The sequence below is a fragment of the Homo sapiens genome, chromosome 2 (assembly GCF_000001405.40).
Source record: "Homo sapiens chromosome 2, GRCh38.p14 Primary Assembly".
Lineage (NCBI taxonomy): Eukaryota > Metazoa > Chordata > Mammalia > Primates > Hominidae > Homo > Homo sapiens.
Window position 1 is genome coordinate 223934184 of NC_000002.12, and position 15772 is coordinate 223949955.

A 15772-nucleotide genomic window follows, 5' to 3' on the forward strand; every position below is an offset into this window, starting at 1 on the left:
GTTCAAGCAATTCTCCTGCCTTAGCCTACCGAGTAGCTGGGACTACAGGCGCACAACACCTCACCCAGCTAATTTTTGTATTTTTAGTAGAGATGGGGTGTCTCACCACATTGGCCAGGCTGGTGTCAAACTCCTGACCTTAAGTGATTCACCCACCTCGGCCCCGCAAAGTGCTGGGATTACAGGCGTGAGCCACCACACCCAGACAGTGGCCTATTTTTAGATTACGTTCCATGCTTCTTTTTCCCTAACAGATTTGTTGACTGATTCAATCAAACTAACACTTGAGACATTACTATAAGCTTTACACTGTTTTTCATGTTAGAAAAATTTTATTTTATTTTTTTAATTTTTGAGACAGAGTCTCACTCTTGTCACCCAAGCTGGAGTGCAATGGTACTATCTCAGCCCAGTGCAACCTCCACCTCCCGGGTTCAAGTGATTCTCCTGCCTCGACCTCCCCAGTAGCTGGGATTACAGGCATCTGCCACCATGCCTGGCTAATCTTTGTATTTTTAGTAGAGATGGGGTTTCACCATGTTGGCCAGGCTGGTCTCCAACTCCTGACCTCAGGTGATCCACCTGCCTCGGCCTCCCAAAGTGCTGGGGTTACAGGCATGAGCCATTGCGCCCAGCCAGAAAAAGTTTAATTAGTAAAGACAAATATGTAAATGAGTAACAGTAACAATATAATGTGGTAAGAGCTATGAGGACAGAAAAAGGGTAGATTAATGTTAGGGAGTGGGAATGGTGGTATAGTGGGTTGGGGGATTTGGCAAACATCGCACAAGAAGTCCTAATGGATGAGAAGGAGTTAATCAAGCAAATGAAACTGAGAAGAGGGTTTCGGCGAGGGAACAGCACAGCAGGACGAAGCCTCTATGGGACACTGCAGGTATCCCAGGAATTCCATACTAGGCTGTATTTTCTATAAACCATAACCTAGAAACCAAAAATGCCCCCATCAATACTGGTTGCACTATAAGCACCCTCATCTCCCCATTAACCTTTGCAACTGGACTCTACTGACGCTAAGTGTCTAAATCAAGTATAAAGACGAGGAGAAAGAGAAAAAAAATCCACACAGGCGACTTTTTACTTAAAATTTCTTTGACGGTGATCTGCTGTAGATTCACCTTGACCTTGAAGGGAAGTGTTTTGAGCAAAGTAGTATGTGGTTGACAAAGAAAAATGAATAAAGAGATTATTTCACCATGAAGTATGACAAAAATACATCATGAAATCAGTATATATGTGCTAATAATGTCTTAACAACTCTCAGAAAGATTTGCTGAGCATACTTTGTAGAGAGGGAAGATGAATACCTAAATTCTAGAAACAAGTATCATTCATTATATTACCATCTGCTTCTTAGGAAAGAACTAGCAGATTATTAAAGCTAAACACAGCAGAGGAAATGTCTACTGTGCAGAAATGGTTAAGTCTGTATCATTCAACCAGTAGCTAGTTATGCAGTACCTGGTGGAGTACAGACTATGTGGGAAGATAAGATGAATAAACACAAAGCAACAGGAACTAATACCTGATTGTAATTAACTAGGCATCATCAGTAATATACTAGGAGTGTTGAAGGAAGCTCAGAAAGGACAGAGAATGATGGGCTGGGAAGAATTATTCAATGGAGGAGGTGGAACTTGAAGTGGATCTAGGAGATGAAGGAGGGTCTGAATACAGGAGAGAGGGCAAGTGAGGTTCCTGGTGAGGGAGGCAAAGGCACCCAGGTGGGAAATGTACCAGGTGTGAGTGGGACAGAACACACACTGACTTCACTGGACACAAAAGAACCATAATAAATGAGAGATAGAAGGTGGAAATAAAGCTTAGCAGGGAGCAGTTATGGGGTTCCCAAAGTCCTTTTTTTTTTTTTTTTTTTTGGGGACAGAGTCTTGCTTTATTGCCCAAGCTGGAGGGCAGCAGCATGATCTTGGCTCACTGCAACCTATGCCCCTTGGGTTCAAGCAATTCTCGTGCCTCAGCCCAGCTTCTTGGGAGGATTACAGGCATGAGCCCCTACACCTGGCTAATTTTTGTATTTTTAGTAGAGACAGAGTTTGACTATGTTGGCCAGGCTGGTCTCTAACTCCTGGCCTCAAGCAATCTGCCTGCCTCAGCTTCCCCATGTTCTGTGATTACAGGCATGAGCCACTGCGCCCGGCCCCCAAAGTCCTTTTACAGACATGATTAAATAAGGAGCTAATGAAAGGTCATGAGCAGGAAAAAGACACAATAAAAGCCTAGTTAAAGATAGGAGATTAGTGGGACAGATCCAAGTACAGTATGCTGGAACTCAGGGAAGCCAGTTAATAGGCTTTGAAAAATGAGGTTTAAAAGATGATGAGGACAAACACTAGGGTAATTATGGGCAGGTGGGCAGAAAAGAGTTCCCACAGCAGGCCTGCTGCTGCTGTCCTTAGAAAGTCTTGCTTGCAAGGTTGGCCCTTGGCAGGTGTCTGGGACCTTGTTTATCCAGAGGGGACCTCACCATTCCCTAACTCCTAAGAATGGCTCACTGTGCTTCATGCCTGTATAAAATATGTGGTTTATGTTGACCACCTACCTTCCTTCTGAGAGTTTGGAATTTTGGAACATTAGCCAAGGGCACCTACATGACCAGCCTCTAACACTGAATAAAGTCTCTAAGGAGCTTCCCTGATAAACAATATTTCACACATGTTGTCTTAATTCAATCTGAATTAGCCTGTCCTGTGACTCCACAGGAAGAGGACTCTTGGAAGCCTTGTGTCTGGTTTCCTCTGGATTTCACCCCATGTGCTGATTTTGTTTTGCGTCTTTTGGCTATGATAAATCACAGCCATGCGTATGACTATAATGTGTCAATCTTTCTAGTGAATCAATGAACCCGATCTTGAGGATCTCAAATATAGCAGGGGAAAGATGTCTAAGTGAAACTAATCACTGACATGACCTGCAAGTAACCAAATATGGAAATAAAGAAAAGGCATGACTCAAAGGCAGTTCTAAGAATTTAGGATTGTAAATAACCCCTCAAATGGTATTGTCCTATTCAAACAGGAAAAATTTTTTTATTTTCACTTATTCACGTGCACACACAAACATGCATACAAAGTAGAAACATATTACTCTTTCGTAAGATTAAAGTAACAAAATGCAAAATAAGTGGAAATGAAAATAATAATAGCTAACACTTGTATAGTGCTTTCTCTGTCCCAGTCTTTAAGATTAAAGCAATTAAATGGAAAATAAATGGGAATGAAAACAATAACAACTAACACTTGCATAATGTTTTCTCTGTGCTAGGCACTGTTCCACGTGGTTTAATTCACCTAATCCTCACAAAACTCTGTAAAGCAGGTACAAAACGGACTCATGTCCATTTTGCACATGAGAAAACTGTGATACAGTGAGGTTAAATAACTTGTCTAAGATCACAGGGCTGGGATTCAAACTGAGGCATTCTGGCTCCCAAGCCTTTGTTCTTAACTATGCTATAAAAAGAAAATGATTGTAACAATGAAGGATCACCCTAACAATACAGGAGTAAATGTGTGGGGTGGCCACCCAGGCTTCCTGCCTTCTCAAGTCTTCAGTTTATTTTATAACACAAATTAAAGTCTACTTTTAGGCTCTGCATGACAATGAAAATACAGCAGTTAACATCCTGGTTTTCTGTATTAACTAATGAATTCCAGCTATGCCAGCCTTCCTCCCAGGCATAACACTTAAAAATCAAGTTATTTATTTAAGATTGTTTCTATGTGAACAATTGGTAAATACACAAATTTTTCCCCAAACCATCTTAATAAACTTAGATATATCTAAGTGGAAGCAAATATATTACATATTTGGTATAATTTTTAAAAAAGGAAAATGCTAAAAAACATCTAAAAGTTGGTTTTCTGTAATCTTTACTCTTTCCCAGCCTAAGTGCAACATCTCAAAACATTTTAAATCACATGAGATTTATCTTTAACTTGGGACAAACAAAATTGAGTTTCCTGCAGAAACCAATCTTGGCCTACGAGCCCCTAATGCAACAGTATAAGTACGTCCATCCACAAACTCTATTTCTCAAAAGTGAAGACAGTAGGCCTATAGCCTTAACTTATTTATAAGGCTTTATAAAGCTTTTACCTTTTAAAAATTGTATCATTCAATCAACTGACTGTCTACATTTTTGGTGCAGTCCACAGCAAAAAAGTCCAAAAAGCAAACATACTGGTTCCTACTGTCTCACCATTTTAGTTCCGCTCTGAAAGCAGAGTCTTATTTTCTGTTTCCCCTACCAGGAAAGTCACCACTGTAGTTCAAATTCTTAAACTTAAATTTAAATTAAAGAGCTTAAGGTAATTATTACTTCAGCAAAATACTAATGACTTCATACAAGAAGTAGTACCATTTTCTATTAACCATTCACGAGACATTAATCCATAAAGGTTTCTAAGCAGAACCCTAAGCTGACCACCCAAACCACTAATGACCTGTGACTCCCAGGTGTAATGGCATTAAGCTTTGATATTCCACATTGGCTTAATACTCTTTGGAGTGCTGACCGTATCTAGCTTTGTCATATGCAGTTTGATTACAGTGAACTAGGTGGCTATCTGTGAATGACCCCAGGTAAATATATCCCAGAAGGTGACAAAAAAAAAGAGGATAAAATGTAAGCAGTATTTTTTTTTTTTTTTTGAGACAGGGTTTTGGTCTGTCACCCAGGCTGGAGTGCAGTGGCACGATCTCAGCTCACCTCAACCTCCGCCTACCGGGCTCAAGTGATCCTCCCGTCTCAGTCTCCCAAGTAGCTAGGATTACAGGTGCACACTACCATGCCTGGCTAATTTCTGTATTCAGTATTCTTTCTTGGTGGTTGTACATAGGCAAGCACAGTGACAAATAACCCTCCTTTCTTGTAGAGCCGTGGTTCTAAGTGTGGTCCCTGGACTAGCAGCATCAGCATCAACGTCACCTGGAAACTTGGCAGAAATGCCAACTCTCAGGCCCCACCTGACTTTCCAAATCAGAAACTCTGGGGGTGGGGTCCAGCAACCCGAATTTCAACAAGACCCCCAGGTGATTCTGATGCACATTCAAGTTAAGGAACCAGTGTTCTAGAGAGGCCAGATAAGTACATGAAGCCCGGACTGGGGTTTCTCAATATCAGCACTATTGACATTTGGGGCTCAATAATCCTTTGGTGTGGGGCATAACAGGATACTGAGATGCATCCCTACCCTCTACCTAGATGCCAGTATTAGTTACATACAGTATTAGTCCGTTTTCACACTGCTGATAAACACATGCCAGAAACTAGGTAATTATAAACAAAATGAGATTCAATGGACTCACAGTTCCATGTGGCTAGGGAAGCCTCACAATCATGGTGGAAGGCAGAAGACATGTCTTACATGGTAGCAGACAAGAGAGAAATAGGAACCAAGCCAAAGGGGTTTTCCCTTGTAAAACCATCAGATCTCCTGAGACTTACTCACTGCCACGAGAACAGTATGGGGGAAACTGCCCTCATGATTCAATTATTTCCCACTGGGTCCCTCCCACAACACATGGGAATTATGGGAGCTACAATTCAAGATAAGATTTGGGTGGGGACACAGCCAAACCATATCACCTCCCCCACATCATGACAACCAAAAATGTCTCCAGATATTACCAAATGTTCCCTGGGTGGGAAAACCACCCCTGGCCCAGAACCACTGGCCTAGATTTTACAAAAGTGGATACTAACTTCAGGAAAACCTTCATACCTTTCACTTTTCTTCTCAAAATGCTCTCAGCTAGTTCTCACTGCTTTTAGCGTTTGTAAAATGAATTCACTTCAGCTGGACCCTACTTTAAATGTAAAAAGCTACTGGCTCATGCCTGTAATCCCAGTACTTTGGGAGGCCGAGGCGGGTGGATCACGAGGTTTGGAGTTCAAGACCAGCCTGGCCAAGACGGTGAAACCCTGTCTCTACTAAAAATACAAAAGTTAGCTGGGTGTGGTGGCGGGTGCCTGTAATCCCAGCTACTCGGGAGGCTGAAGCAGGAGAATCGCTTGAACCTGGGAGGCAGAGGTTGCAGTGAGCCAAGATCATGCCACTGTGATGCATGCAGTAAATAAAGATTACAAACAGTCTCATTTGTTCAGGCCAAATTTTAGCACCAAACGAGTTTTCAGGTCCAATTTACACACACACATACACACTTCTGACGTTTAGAATGCACTAAATTTTGGAACTGCTGATAAGAGAAGGTGACTGTACCTACCTTATAGGGAGGAAGTGTGAGGATTGGATCCAATAACACATAAGGTCCAATTCTGTACTCGTAGAGAAAAGGGACTTTCAACAGGTTAGCTATTGTTATTTCTAAATTACAAATTCCGATCATATCATTTGCTTGTTTTGAACTCTTTGATGGTTCTACACTGCCTGCAAAATAAGGTCCAAATTCCTTATTTCTTTCTTTTTTTTTTTTTTGAGACAAAGTTTTGTTCTTGTTGCCCAGGCTGGAGTGCAGTGGCGTGATCTCAGCTCACTGCAACCTCCGCCTCCCAGGTTCAAGTGATTCTCCTGTCTCAGCCTCCCAAGTAGCTGGGACCACAGGTGTGTGCCACCATGCCCAGCTAATTTTTGTGGGTTTTTTTGTTTTTGTTTTTTGAGACAGAGTTTCACTCTTGTTGCACAGGCTGGAGGGCAATGGCATGATCTCGGCTCACTTCAACCTCTGCTTCCTGGGTTCAAGTGATTCTCCTGCCTCAGCCTCCCAAGTAGCTGGGATTACAGGCATGTGCCACCACGCCCAGCTAATTTTGTATTTTTAGTAGAGATGGGGTTTCTCCATGTTGGTCAGGCTGGTCTCAAACTCCTGACCTCAGGTGATCCACCCGCCTCGGCCTCCCAAAGTGCTGGAATTACAAGTGTGAGCCACTGCACCCAGCCAATTTTTGTATTTATAGTAGAGATGGGGTTTCACCATGTTGGCCAGGCTGTTCTTGAACTCCTAACCTCAGGTGATCTGCCTGCCTTGGCCTCCCAAAGTGCTGGGATTACAGTCGTGAGCCACCGCACTTGGCCCCCAAAAACTTTTTTTTTTTAATTTAAAAAACAAAACAAAACCGGACACTGGGTCCTTCTAGCTCTCAGTCTTCTCTGTTGCTATTGTCACTGCCCACCTTTTGCTCTGGTCACTTAGAAATAGCTATGGTTCTTTCCCTCTTACAATTCCCTCCTGTCCTTTCCTCCTTCCTCTGCCTGGGATGAGGGTGCATCCCTCCTTCCTTTCTAGATGCCACTCCTCTATCCATGAAGACCAGCTCAACGACCTTCTCTAGGAGGCTGTCCCCAAACCCCGGCCCCAGCCCAAAGAGCCTCCTCTTCCTGTGTCTTCCCAGCACTGGATGCTGAATACATAGGGGCCATCTCTTCACTAGACTGTTCAGCCCTTGGGAAAGAGCAACTTAGCTGTCAGCTGTCTCTCCCCCACAGGTCTAGCATGGGCCCCACACACGTGCTGGGATTACAGGCGTGAGCCACCTTGCCTGGCCAAGGTAGTGTGGCTTTTGACCCCTGTTGTGTCCTCAGGGCCTGACACTCAATAAAAAAGCTTTTTCTAAATGAATGAGTAAATGAGTGAAGAACGTGACACGTATTTATGACAATGTGAAAACAAACCACCATGGCTAACACCAAGAAAAAACCCACGCCCATGTGCTTTCATTACATCTCATGAAGTGTAGCACCTACTAAAAAGGTTGTTCTCCCTTCAAGGAAGTTGCAAGAGCCTGAACACAACAGAAACCTCAAACGCCAACCCCATCCTGGTCCAGTCATCTACCTGGGCTCTGCAATAACAGTGGTGCACGAGTGAAAAAGTGAGCAGATGCAAGCTCCCCCAGAACGTTTCAGTCCCAGAGCAGCTTAGTAATCACTTTCCAAAAACATTTATCAGCACTGCTCCTGACCAGCAATCTCAAATATTTAGCAACTTACCCAAAACGCATGATTCATGAATAAAATATTTGACCGAATAAAGGCTGCTAACTTTTTTTTTTTTTTGATACGGAGTCTGGCTCTATCGCCCAGGCTGGAGTGCAGTGGCACAATCTTGGCTCACTGCAAGCTCTGCCTCCCAGGTTCACGCCATTCTCCTGCCTCAGCTTCCCGAGTAGCTGGGACTACAGGCGCCTGCCACCACACCTGGCTAATTTTTGAATTTTTAGTAGAGACTGGGTTTCGCCGTGTTAGCCAGGATGGTCTCGACCTCCTGACCTTGTTATCCACCCGCCTCGGCCTCCCAAAGTGCTGGGATTACAGGCATGAGCCACTGCGCCTGGCCAAAGGCTAACTTTTTTTTTTTTTTTTTTTGAGACGGAGTCTCGCTCTGTCGCCCAGGCCGGACTGCGGACTGCAGTGGCGCAATCTCGGCTCACTGCAAGCTCCGCTTCCCGGGTTCACGCCATTCTCCTGCCTCAGCCTCCCCAGTAGCTGGGACTACAGGCGCCCGCCACCGCGCCCGGCTAATTTTTTGTATTTTTAGTAGAGACGGGGTTTCACCTTGTTAGCCAGGATGGTCTCGATCTCCTGACCTCATGATCCACCCGCCTCGGCCTCCCAAAGTGCTGGGATTACAGGCGTGAGCCACCGCGCCCGGCCCAAAGGCTAACTTTTAAAGAGTGTTGTCTGCATCTACGTTCACATCATGCAAGAGTCATTATTCTGGCCGGACACCAGTGGATCATGCTTGTAATCCCAACACTTCGGGAGGCCAAGGCGGGTGGATCACGAGGTCAGGAGATCGAGACCATCCTGACCAACATGGTGAAACCCTGTCTCTACTAAAAATAGAAAAATTAGCTGGGCGTGGTGGCAGGCGCCTATAGTCCCAGCTACTCAGGAGGTTGAGGCAGGAGAATCGCTTGAACCTGGGAGGCGGAGGTTGCAGTGAGCCAAGATGATGCCACTGCACTCCATCCAGCCTGGGTGACAGAGCAAGCCTCCATCTTAAAAAAAAAAAAAAAAAGTCATTATTCTGTCCTTGCCTTTTTCAGGTCCCCACCTTCTCCCCAGGTCTCATGCACTCGATCTCTCTCACTCCTTTCTGCTTTACAGACCCACAGCCAGGTCCTGCCAATCACTCCCCTCCTTGTTGGAAGTCAGCTACAGGTGAACCAGCAGGGAGAGGCCACTGCCTGCTCACAATCAGCTCATTATCTAATTGAGGAAAAAGGCACAAGCTCACTCAAAAGCAAAATCCAAAGGACCAACAGGAGTTGGGGGCTTCAGGCTTTTTCTTCCCATTCAGGATAGGGTCAATGTCACTTCAAAAGGTATAATTACAAAAGGCTAGAGACCACGCCTTCAGCTTTAAGAGAATAGCAGTACCTTCCATCCTCCAGAAAGCTTTTGGACTTGTGGACTATCCCTATTTAAGACGGCTCATTGCATCAAGGAAACACAGTTTCATTCAATAAACATCAGTCATTTCCTTCAAATTCCCACCGGAAAGCTACTGACATTGTAAACCTTTAGGATTTGAAAGACGCTAAAGTTTAAAGTCGAATCATAAATACTGTTCCAATCCAATCACTCAGGCCCAGAGCTGGTGGGAGTTCTGGATTGCATTTCCGGCTTCACCAGTATCTCTGTAACTTAGCAGCAAGCTACACCTCCACCAGCCTCGGCTTCCTCTTAGGAGAAATGAGAAAACTGGACCCAATCAGTGTTTCCCAAAAGCATGGTGGGCGTCCAATGCAAGATGTCACAGTGCAAGAGAGGACTCTGTGTGCATGCCAATTAACATGTTTTAGTTATTAGTTTACTCTGTCTGGTGAGTAATGTTAGTTTTCCTAATAAATAAGATTTCCTTTTAAAATAAATGCATCCAAATATTTTTAAAAATGAGTCACTTTCACAAAAACCTATTTAGTAAATAAGAGTTCAGGTGATTCTAGCAGCCGTGGCAAAAATAACTGATCTAGAGGCCTGGCGTGGCGTGAAATCCCTGAGTACAGGGGGAGGAAGAGAGCGAAGGCGGCTGGAGTTCCTCGCAAAGAAGCAAGCCCCGGGCACCAGGGTCCGCAGTGACCAGCCGCCGGTCCTCCACGCTTCCAGAGGAGACGATTTGGAACTGACCCGGGAGGGCCAAGAAACACCTTCCGAGTACCAGGCTAAACCCCGCCAGGGAGAGAGACCGGGACGAAGGTCCCAGGCTAGTGCGACACCGCAGGTCGGGGTTCCCTGGTTGGAGGAGCGCGGTGGGCTGGGAGGGGCGCGTTGGTGCGCACTGGAACAGGGGTCCCCGGCTTGAGCAGCGCGGTGAGACAGAGTTCCCGCGCTGGAGGGGCGCGGTGAGACAGAGGTCCTGGGCTGGAGAGGTGCGTTGGGGCGCACTGGAACCGGGGTCCCGGGCTTGAGTGGCGCGGTGGGACAGAGTTCCCGGGCTGGAGGGGCGCAGTGGGACAGAAGATCCGGGCTAGAGGGGCGCGGTGGGACGGAGCTCCCGGGATGGACGGGCGCAGTGGGACAAGGGTCCCGGACTGGAGGGGCGCGTTGGGGAGCATTGGAACAGGGGTCCTGAGCAGGAGGGGCGAGGTGGGCTGGGAGGGGCGCGGTAGGGCGCACTGGAACAGGGGTCCTGGGCTGGAAAGACACGTTGGAACAAGGGTCCCGGGCTTGGGCGGCGCGGTGAGACGGAGTTCCCGGGCTGGAGGGGCGCGGTGGGACAGGGGATCCGGGCTGGAGGGGCGCGGCGAGACCGGGGTCCCAGGCTGGAAAGGTGCAAGTCGAGGCTGGAGGACCGGCGGGAGGGAACCGGGAACCCGGCGGAGCTAAGGGGCGCAGAGTGGGGGTGGGGCCGTGCTGCCGGGGGAGCCCCCTCACGCAGGAAGGACCGGGGCCGCGGACCCCACCGCCCCCACACCCCGTCGTCGCGGAGTTCGGGCCGCCCCGGCTGCGCCCGGGCCCTACCTGTCCTCGCTGGCCGTGATCACGCCGTCCTCCTTGGGGATGAGCAGCGCGGCCGTGACGGCGTCCTGGTGCCCCTCGATCTTGCTCAGCAGCACCGGGCGGCTGCTCTGCGGCCTGGAGTGGATTTCGGCCGCCATGTTCGCGCGGCGACTGCTGCGGCCTCCTCGGCAGGCAGCCCATCAGCTGACGCCTGGGCGGGCGGGGGACGCGCCGGTTTCCCTTCGGCTGCTGGGGCCTCTTGGGCGCCGCGCCGCCGTAAGCCCCCGAGTGCTGCCGCCGCACCGCCCGTATTGCCTGGGGATGCCGCGCAAGCTGAAAGTCTGTGGCTGGGAGAGGATGCCACGGGGCGCCTGCGGAGAAATGGGGAAAGTAAGGAAGGTTTAAAAGTAAAGCCATTCACCCAGGAATAAATTGAGCACCTGGAGGGGACAAGGAATTGTCCCCCAAACCAGAGATTTCAGAAATTACAATACTACATTTCATCCATTTGAAGAAGCCATTGTTTGAAAGGCACACACTTTCAGAAATGTTAAAATGTGAAAAAATATAGTGCATCTTAGAATCTTTGAACTACAATAGATAGCACTGAGTGGTGACCATATACCAGGCATTAACTCAGTGTCTTTGCATCTCATTTAATACTGATAATTTTAAGAGATGAAATAGATGCTCTTGTATTCCCATTTTAGAGATGAGAAAACAACCAGAGAAGTTTGATCACTACCTTAAGGTTGCACAGCTATGAGAGGGAGAAAAGCAGCCCTTGATCTCCAGGAGCTGCCTGGTACTATCAGCTGAGCTTTGGTGTTGCTAGGAAGTGTTTGCTTCCTGTGGAACATAAACATCAGACGAGGCCACTCCATAATCACATCTAAACACGGCCAAAATATGAGCGATGTACAAGCCACAGAAATTACCAAACATCCCCCTATCCTGGCTAATATGAGTGACTCTTATTTCTTTATTAATTATAATGTTAACCGCTATCTAGTCTTCCTCCATTTAGATAAGATTTATTAAGATATGCAACCTTAGAATTATACGCATTTCCTGACAACATCCAGTCCACAGGAGAGCCTCTCTTCCTTAAGCTCTCCCAGGTCACCTAACACAAACACAAATCCTATAATAAAACTGTCCGAACATCCCTTTACCCAGACACCTCACCATTCCCAATGGTGTGTCTTCTCCCTCCAACAAGCAATCAACCCCATTTGTTCCTGGTGGTTTTTGGCTAGAGGTCATTGACAACCAGTAAGTTCAAGAGCCAAAATTTGGACTCAGGAAGTCAATGACTCCAAACTTCTGCCCCACTATATTATTCTGACACCTGAATTGCAGAATTGCATTAGAACCGTACTATCCACATGACTATAGAGCACTTGAAATGTGGCTTGTCCAAACTGAGATGTAGTACAAGTGCAAAATACTACAAGATTTTATAGACTTAGCACAAAACAAAAAAGATGTAATATAGTTCATCAATAATTGTTACAATGATTACATGTTGAAATGATACTATTTTGGATATATTGAGTTAGATACTATTAAAATTAATATGACCTGCTTATTTTTTTAAGGTAGCTAATAAAAACTTTAAATTATGGATGTGAATCAGATGGTACTTCTATGTACAGTGATTTACTAGAACTTTCTTTTTGTTTTTGTTTTGTTTTGTTTTAGTTTTTTGAGACGAACTCACTCCGTCACCCAGGCTGGAGTGCAGTGGTGCGATCTCGGTTTACGGCAACCTCCGCCTCCCAGGTTAAAGGGATTCACCTGTCTCAGCTTCCCGAGTAGCTGGGATTACAAGCACCTACCACCATGCCTGGCTAATTTTGTATTTTTACTAGAGACAGGGTTTCACCATGTTGACCAGGCTGGTCTCAAACTTCTGCCCTCAAATCATCTGCCCACCTCAGCCTCCCAAAATGCTGGGATTACGGGCAGGAGCCACCATTGTACTAATACTTTCTCATGATGAAGTTATTAACAAACATTCATGAATTTATTTATTCCTATATTCAACAGACATATATCGCACACTTACTATATGCTGTTGCTGATGAGATTAATAAGACATGGTTTTTGTGAGGCTGTACAGTGTAATGACTAGACACGCTACTGAACAACTTTGTTTAATCAACCAACATCTCCCAAGTGCCTGCTGTGAGCCAGGTGCCATTCTAAATGCAGCAGTGCTCAAGAGAGACAAAAATCCCTCTGCTGTTAGAACTTACATCCCAGTGAAGGAAACAGATAGTAAACTAAATTATATAATATATTAGAAGATGTTCAATGCTATTAAATGCTATGGAGAAAATAAAGCAGGGAAGGGTGATAGGGACTCTAGGGGATGTTGCGATTTTAAATAGATGGTGTGATAGATTCAGGAATACACTGCACAGATCTGCTTTCAGGGAAGAACAGTGGTCAGCAGAGAGCCTCTAGCCTTCAGCTCCTTCAGGGACTGCCCCAGCTGCTGAGAACCACTGGGTCTCAGTTGTTCCCTTCACAGGGAAGCCCACATTCAGTAACTGAACAAGATAGGAGGATAAAGGCCTGACCATCAAGACAGACCGATGAGCAACACTTGCTCTAGAACTCTCTCCTAGATTGGACAAGGCTTTGTAAGGCGTGTACTGCAGCTGACTTCTCCTGCCTAATCCTGGTACCTCCCCCTCCCTTCACAGGCATTGATTCCTAATAAACACCCTCTGAGCCAACCTCTATCACCGTATCTGCTGCTGGAGAATGCAACCTGAGACAAGTAAAAGCCTCATTGTAAAGTTACATTTTGAGCCAAGAAGGAGAGGAGGGAGTAAGCCATGTGGAAATGTGGGCCAAATACTTTTCTGGAAAAGAAAAGAGCACGTGTTAAGGCATTGAGGTGAGCACATGCCAGGGGTTTTGTAGAGACAGCCAGGCACCCCGTGAGGCTGGAGCAGAGTGAGTGAGGGAGTGCTCAGAGAAAAACAGCACAGACAGGTCACCAGACAGACCATGTTGAGCCCAGAGACCATTGATAAGGGCTTTGGTTTTTACTTCAAATGAGATAGGAAGCCATTGGAGAGTTTCGAACAGAAGGCTGGTTTAATCTGCCTTCAAGTTTTTAAATTTGTATTCATTTATTTTTCGAGACGAAGTCTCACTCTGTCGTCCAGGCTGGAGTGCAGTGGTGCGATCCTGGCTCACTGCAACCTCCACCTCCTGGGTTCAAGTGATTCTCGTGCCTCAGCTTCTCAAGTAGCTGGGACTACAGGCACGTGCCACCACACCCAGCTAATTTTTGTACTTTTAGTAGAGAGGGTGTCACCATGTTGGCCAAGCTGGTTTCGAACTCCCAACCCCAGGTGATCCACCCACTTTGGCCTCCCAAAGTGCTGGGATTATTATAGGCATGAGCCACTGCGCCTGGGCTAATCTGCCTTCAATTTTAAAAGGCAAGAATAGAAGCAAGGTGTCAGTCAGGAAGTTATTTGAGAAATTAACAGGGTAATTGAGAAATGATGTGGCTTTCTAAGGGTGCTGGTGGTGAGAGGACATCAGATTCTAGACTTATGTAGAAGGTAGTACCAGTGAAATTTGTTGAATATTGAATATGAGATAGTTAAGAATGATACCAAGATTTGTGGGCTGAGCAACTGGAAAAGTGGAGCTGCCAGTTACTGATCTGTGGAAAATGTAGGAGGAGCAGGTTTGGAAGGGAAGAAGGAGAATTCAGTTTTGGACATAGGAAGCTTGAGACGAGTATTAGGTCTCCAAGTGAAGGGGCTGAGTAGGCAGTTGAATACAGGAGGTTTTTGTTTGTTTGTTTGTTTGTTTTTGTTTTTTTTGTTTTTTTTTTGAGATGGAGTCTTGCTCTGTTGCCCAGGCTGGAGTGCAGTGGTGCGATCTTGGCTCACTGCAACCTCCACCTCCTTGGTTGAAGCAATTATCCTGTCTCAGCCTCCCCAGCAGCCGGGATTACAGGCGTGTGCCACTATGCCTGACTAATTTTTGTATTTTTAGTAGAGACGGGGTTTTGCCATGTTGGCCAGGCTGGTTTCGAACTCCTGACCTCAGGTGATCCACCTGCCTCAGCCTCCCAAGGTGCTGGGATTACAGGCGTGAGCCACCATGACCAGCCTGAATATAGGAGTTTTGTATATGCTACTGAATAGTAGAGAGGTCTGGACTGCAGCCATTACTCTGGGAGTTAAATGCACAGTGATGGAACCTGCTGTGCCACCCTCTGCAGGGTCAGCAGATGCTCACTGGGTGGTGGTAGAGTTCAGGAGCCAAGTTTATGCTTGATCTTAAGGCAGCAGGATGGTCAAAACTAAGTGAGAGAAAGGCCCTCTACAAATACTTGTTCAAAAATTTTAATCAGGGATTCGCCTGTTAAACTAAATTAAAATGGAAACCAGGGCTGAAGACTCCCCGAAGAGACAAAGCCAGTCAGTCCTCCTAAGTGATCTTAACCTTGCTTGATTTGCAAACATAAGTGAAACTTAACTTGAACTATTTCTTGTAAATGCCTGTATTAAAGAAAAACAAAACTTAAGCTCAACCATTCAGAAGCAGTCAACAGACTTACAATTAAATAACTAGGGATTTTCCCACAGGATAGACCAAATAAAGCCACTTTATAACTGTAATCAATTATTTTCTTTGCATTATTTCTGCATTCACTCTTCCAAGTTTGACCCTTATGCTTCTCCAACAGAGCCCTGGAAACACTTCCGGTTTAGAGCTGTCCGATTCATGAATTGCTGTTTACACAAATAAGCCCTTTAAAATATTATTGTGCCTTGGTTTACCTTTTT

General features: G+C 45.9%; 1 protein-coding gene and 1 long non-coding RNA gene across 3 annotated transcripts in view, besides 3 other annotated features; one reads left to right on the forward strand and one right to left on the reverse strand.

The window, feature by feature from the left end:
* Window positions 1-11152, reverse strand: part of WDFY1 (WD repeat and FYVE domain containing 1) — a 69988-nt gene extending 58836 nt beyond the window's left edge. The window contains exon 1 of the mRNA NM_020830.5: window positions 10965-11152. Within this exon, the coding sequence (NP_065881.1) occupies window positions 10965-11101 (137 nt within the window). The 5' untranslated portion in view covers window positions 11102-11152. The remainder of the gene's footprint in view (window positions 1-10964) is intronic.
* Window positions 9041-15604, forward strand: LOC124907989 (uncharacterized). 2 transcript variants are annotated; one of them, XR_007088100.1, is made up of 2 exons: window positions 9041-10224; window positions 13658-15604. It is a non-coding gene; the product is annotated as an uncharacterized LOC124907989 (long non-coding RNA). The 2 variants fall into 2 exon arrangements; XR_007088101.1 differs by lacking the exon at window positions 9041-10224 and adding an exon at window positions 10296-10372.
* Window positions 9964-10083: an enhancer, noted in NCBI's record as "active region_17182". NCBI's record gives its function as "activates an Ori minimal core promoter by ATAC-STARR-seq in GM12878 lymphoblastoid cells {active_cell/tissue: GM12878}" and the evidence as "EXISTENCE:reporter gene assay evidence [ECO:0000049][PMID:35858748]".
* Window positions 10094-10153: an enhancer, noted in NCBI's record as "active region_17183". NCBI's record gives its function as "activates an Ori minimal core promoter by ATAC-STARR-seq in GM12878 lymphoblastoid cells {active_cell/tissue: GM12878}" and the evidence as "EXISTENCE:reporter gene assay evidence [ECO:0000049][PMID:35858748]".
* Window positions 10724-10903: a silencer, noted in NCBI's record as "silent region_12378". NCBI's record gives its function as "represses an Ori minimal core promoter by ATAC-STARR-seq in GM12878 lymphoblastoid cells {active_cell/tissue: GM12878}" and the evidence as "EXISTENCE:reporter gene assay evidence [ECO:0000049][PMID:35858748]".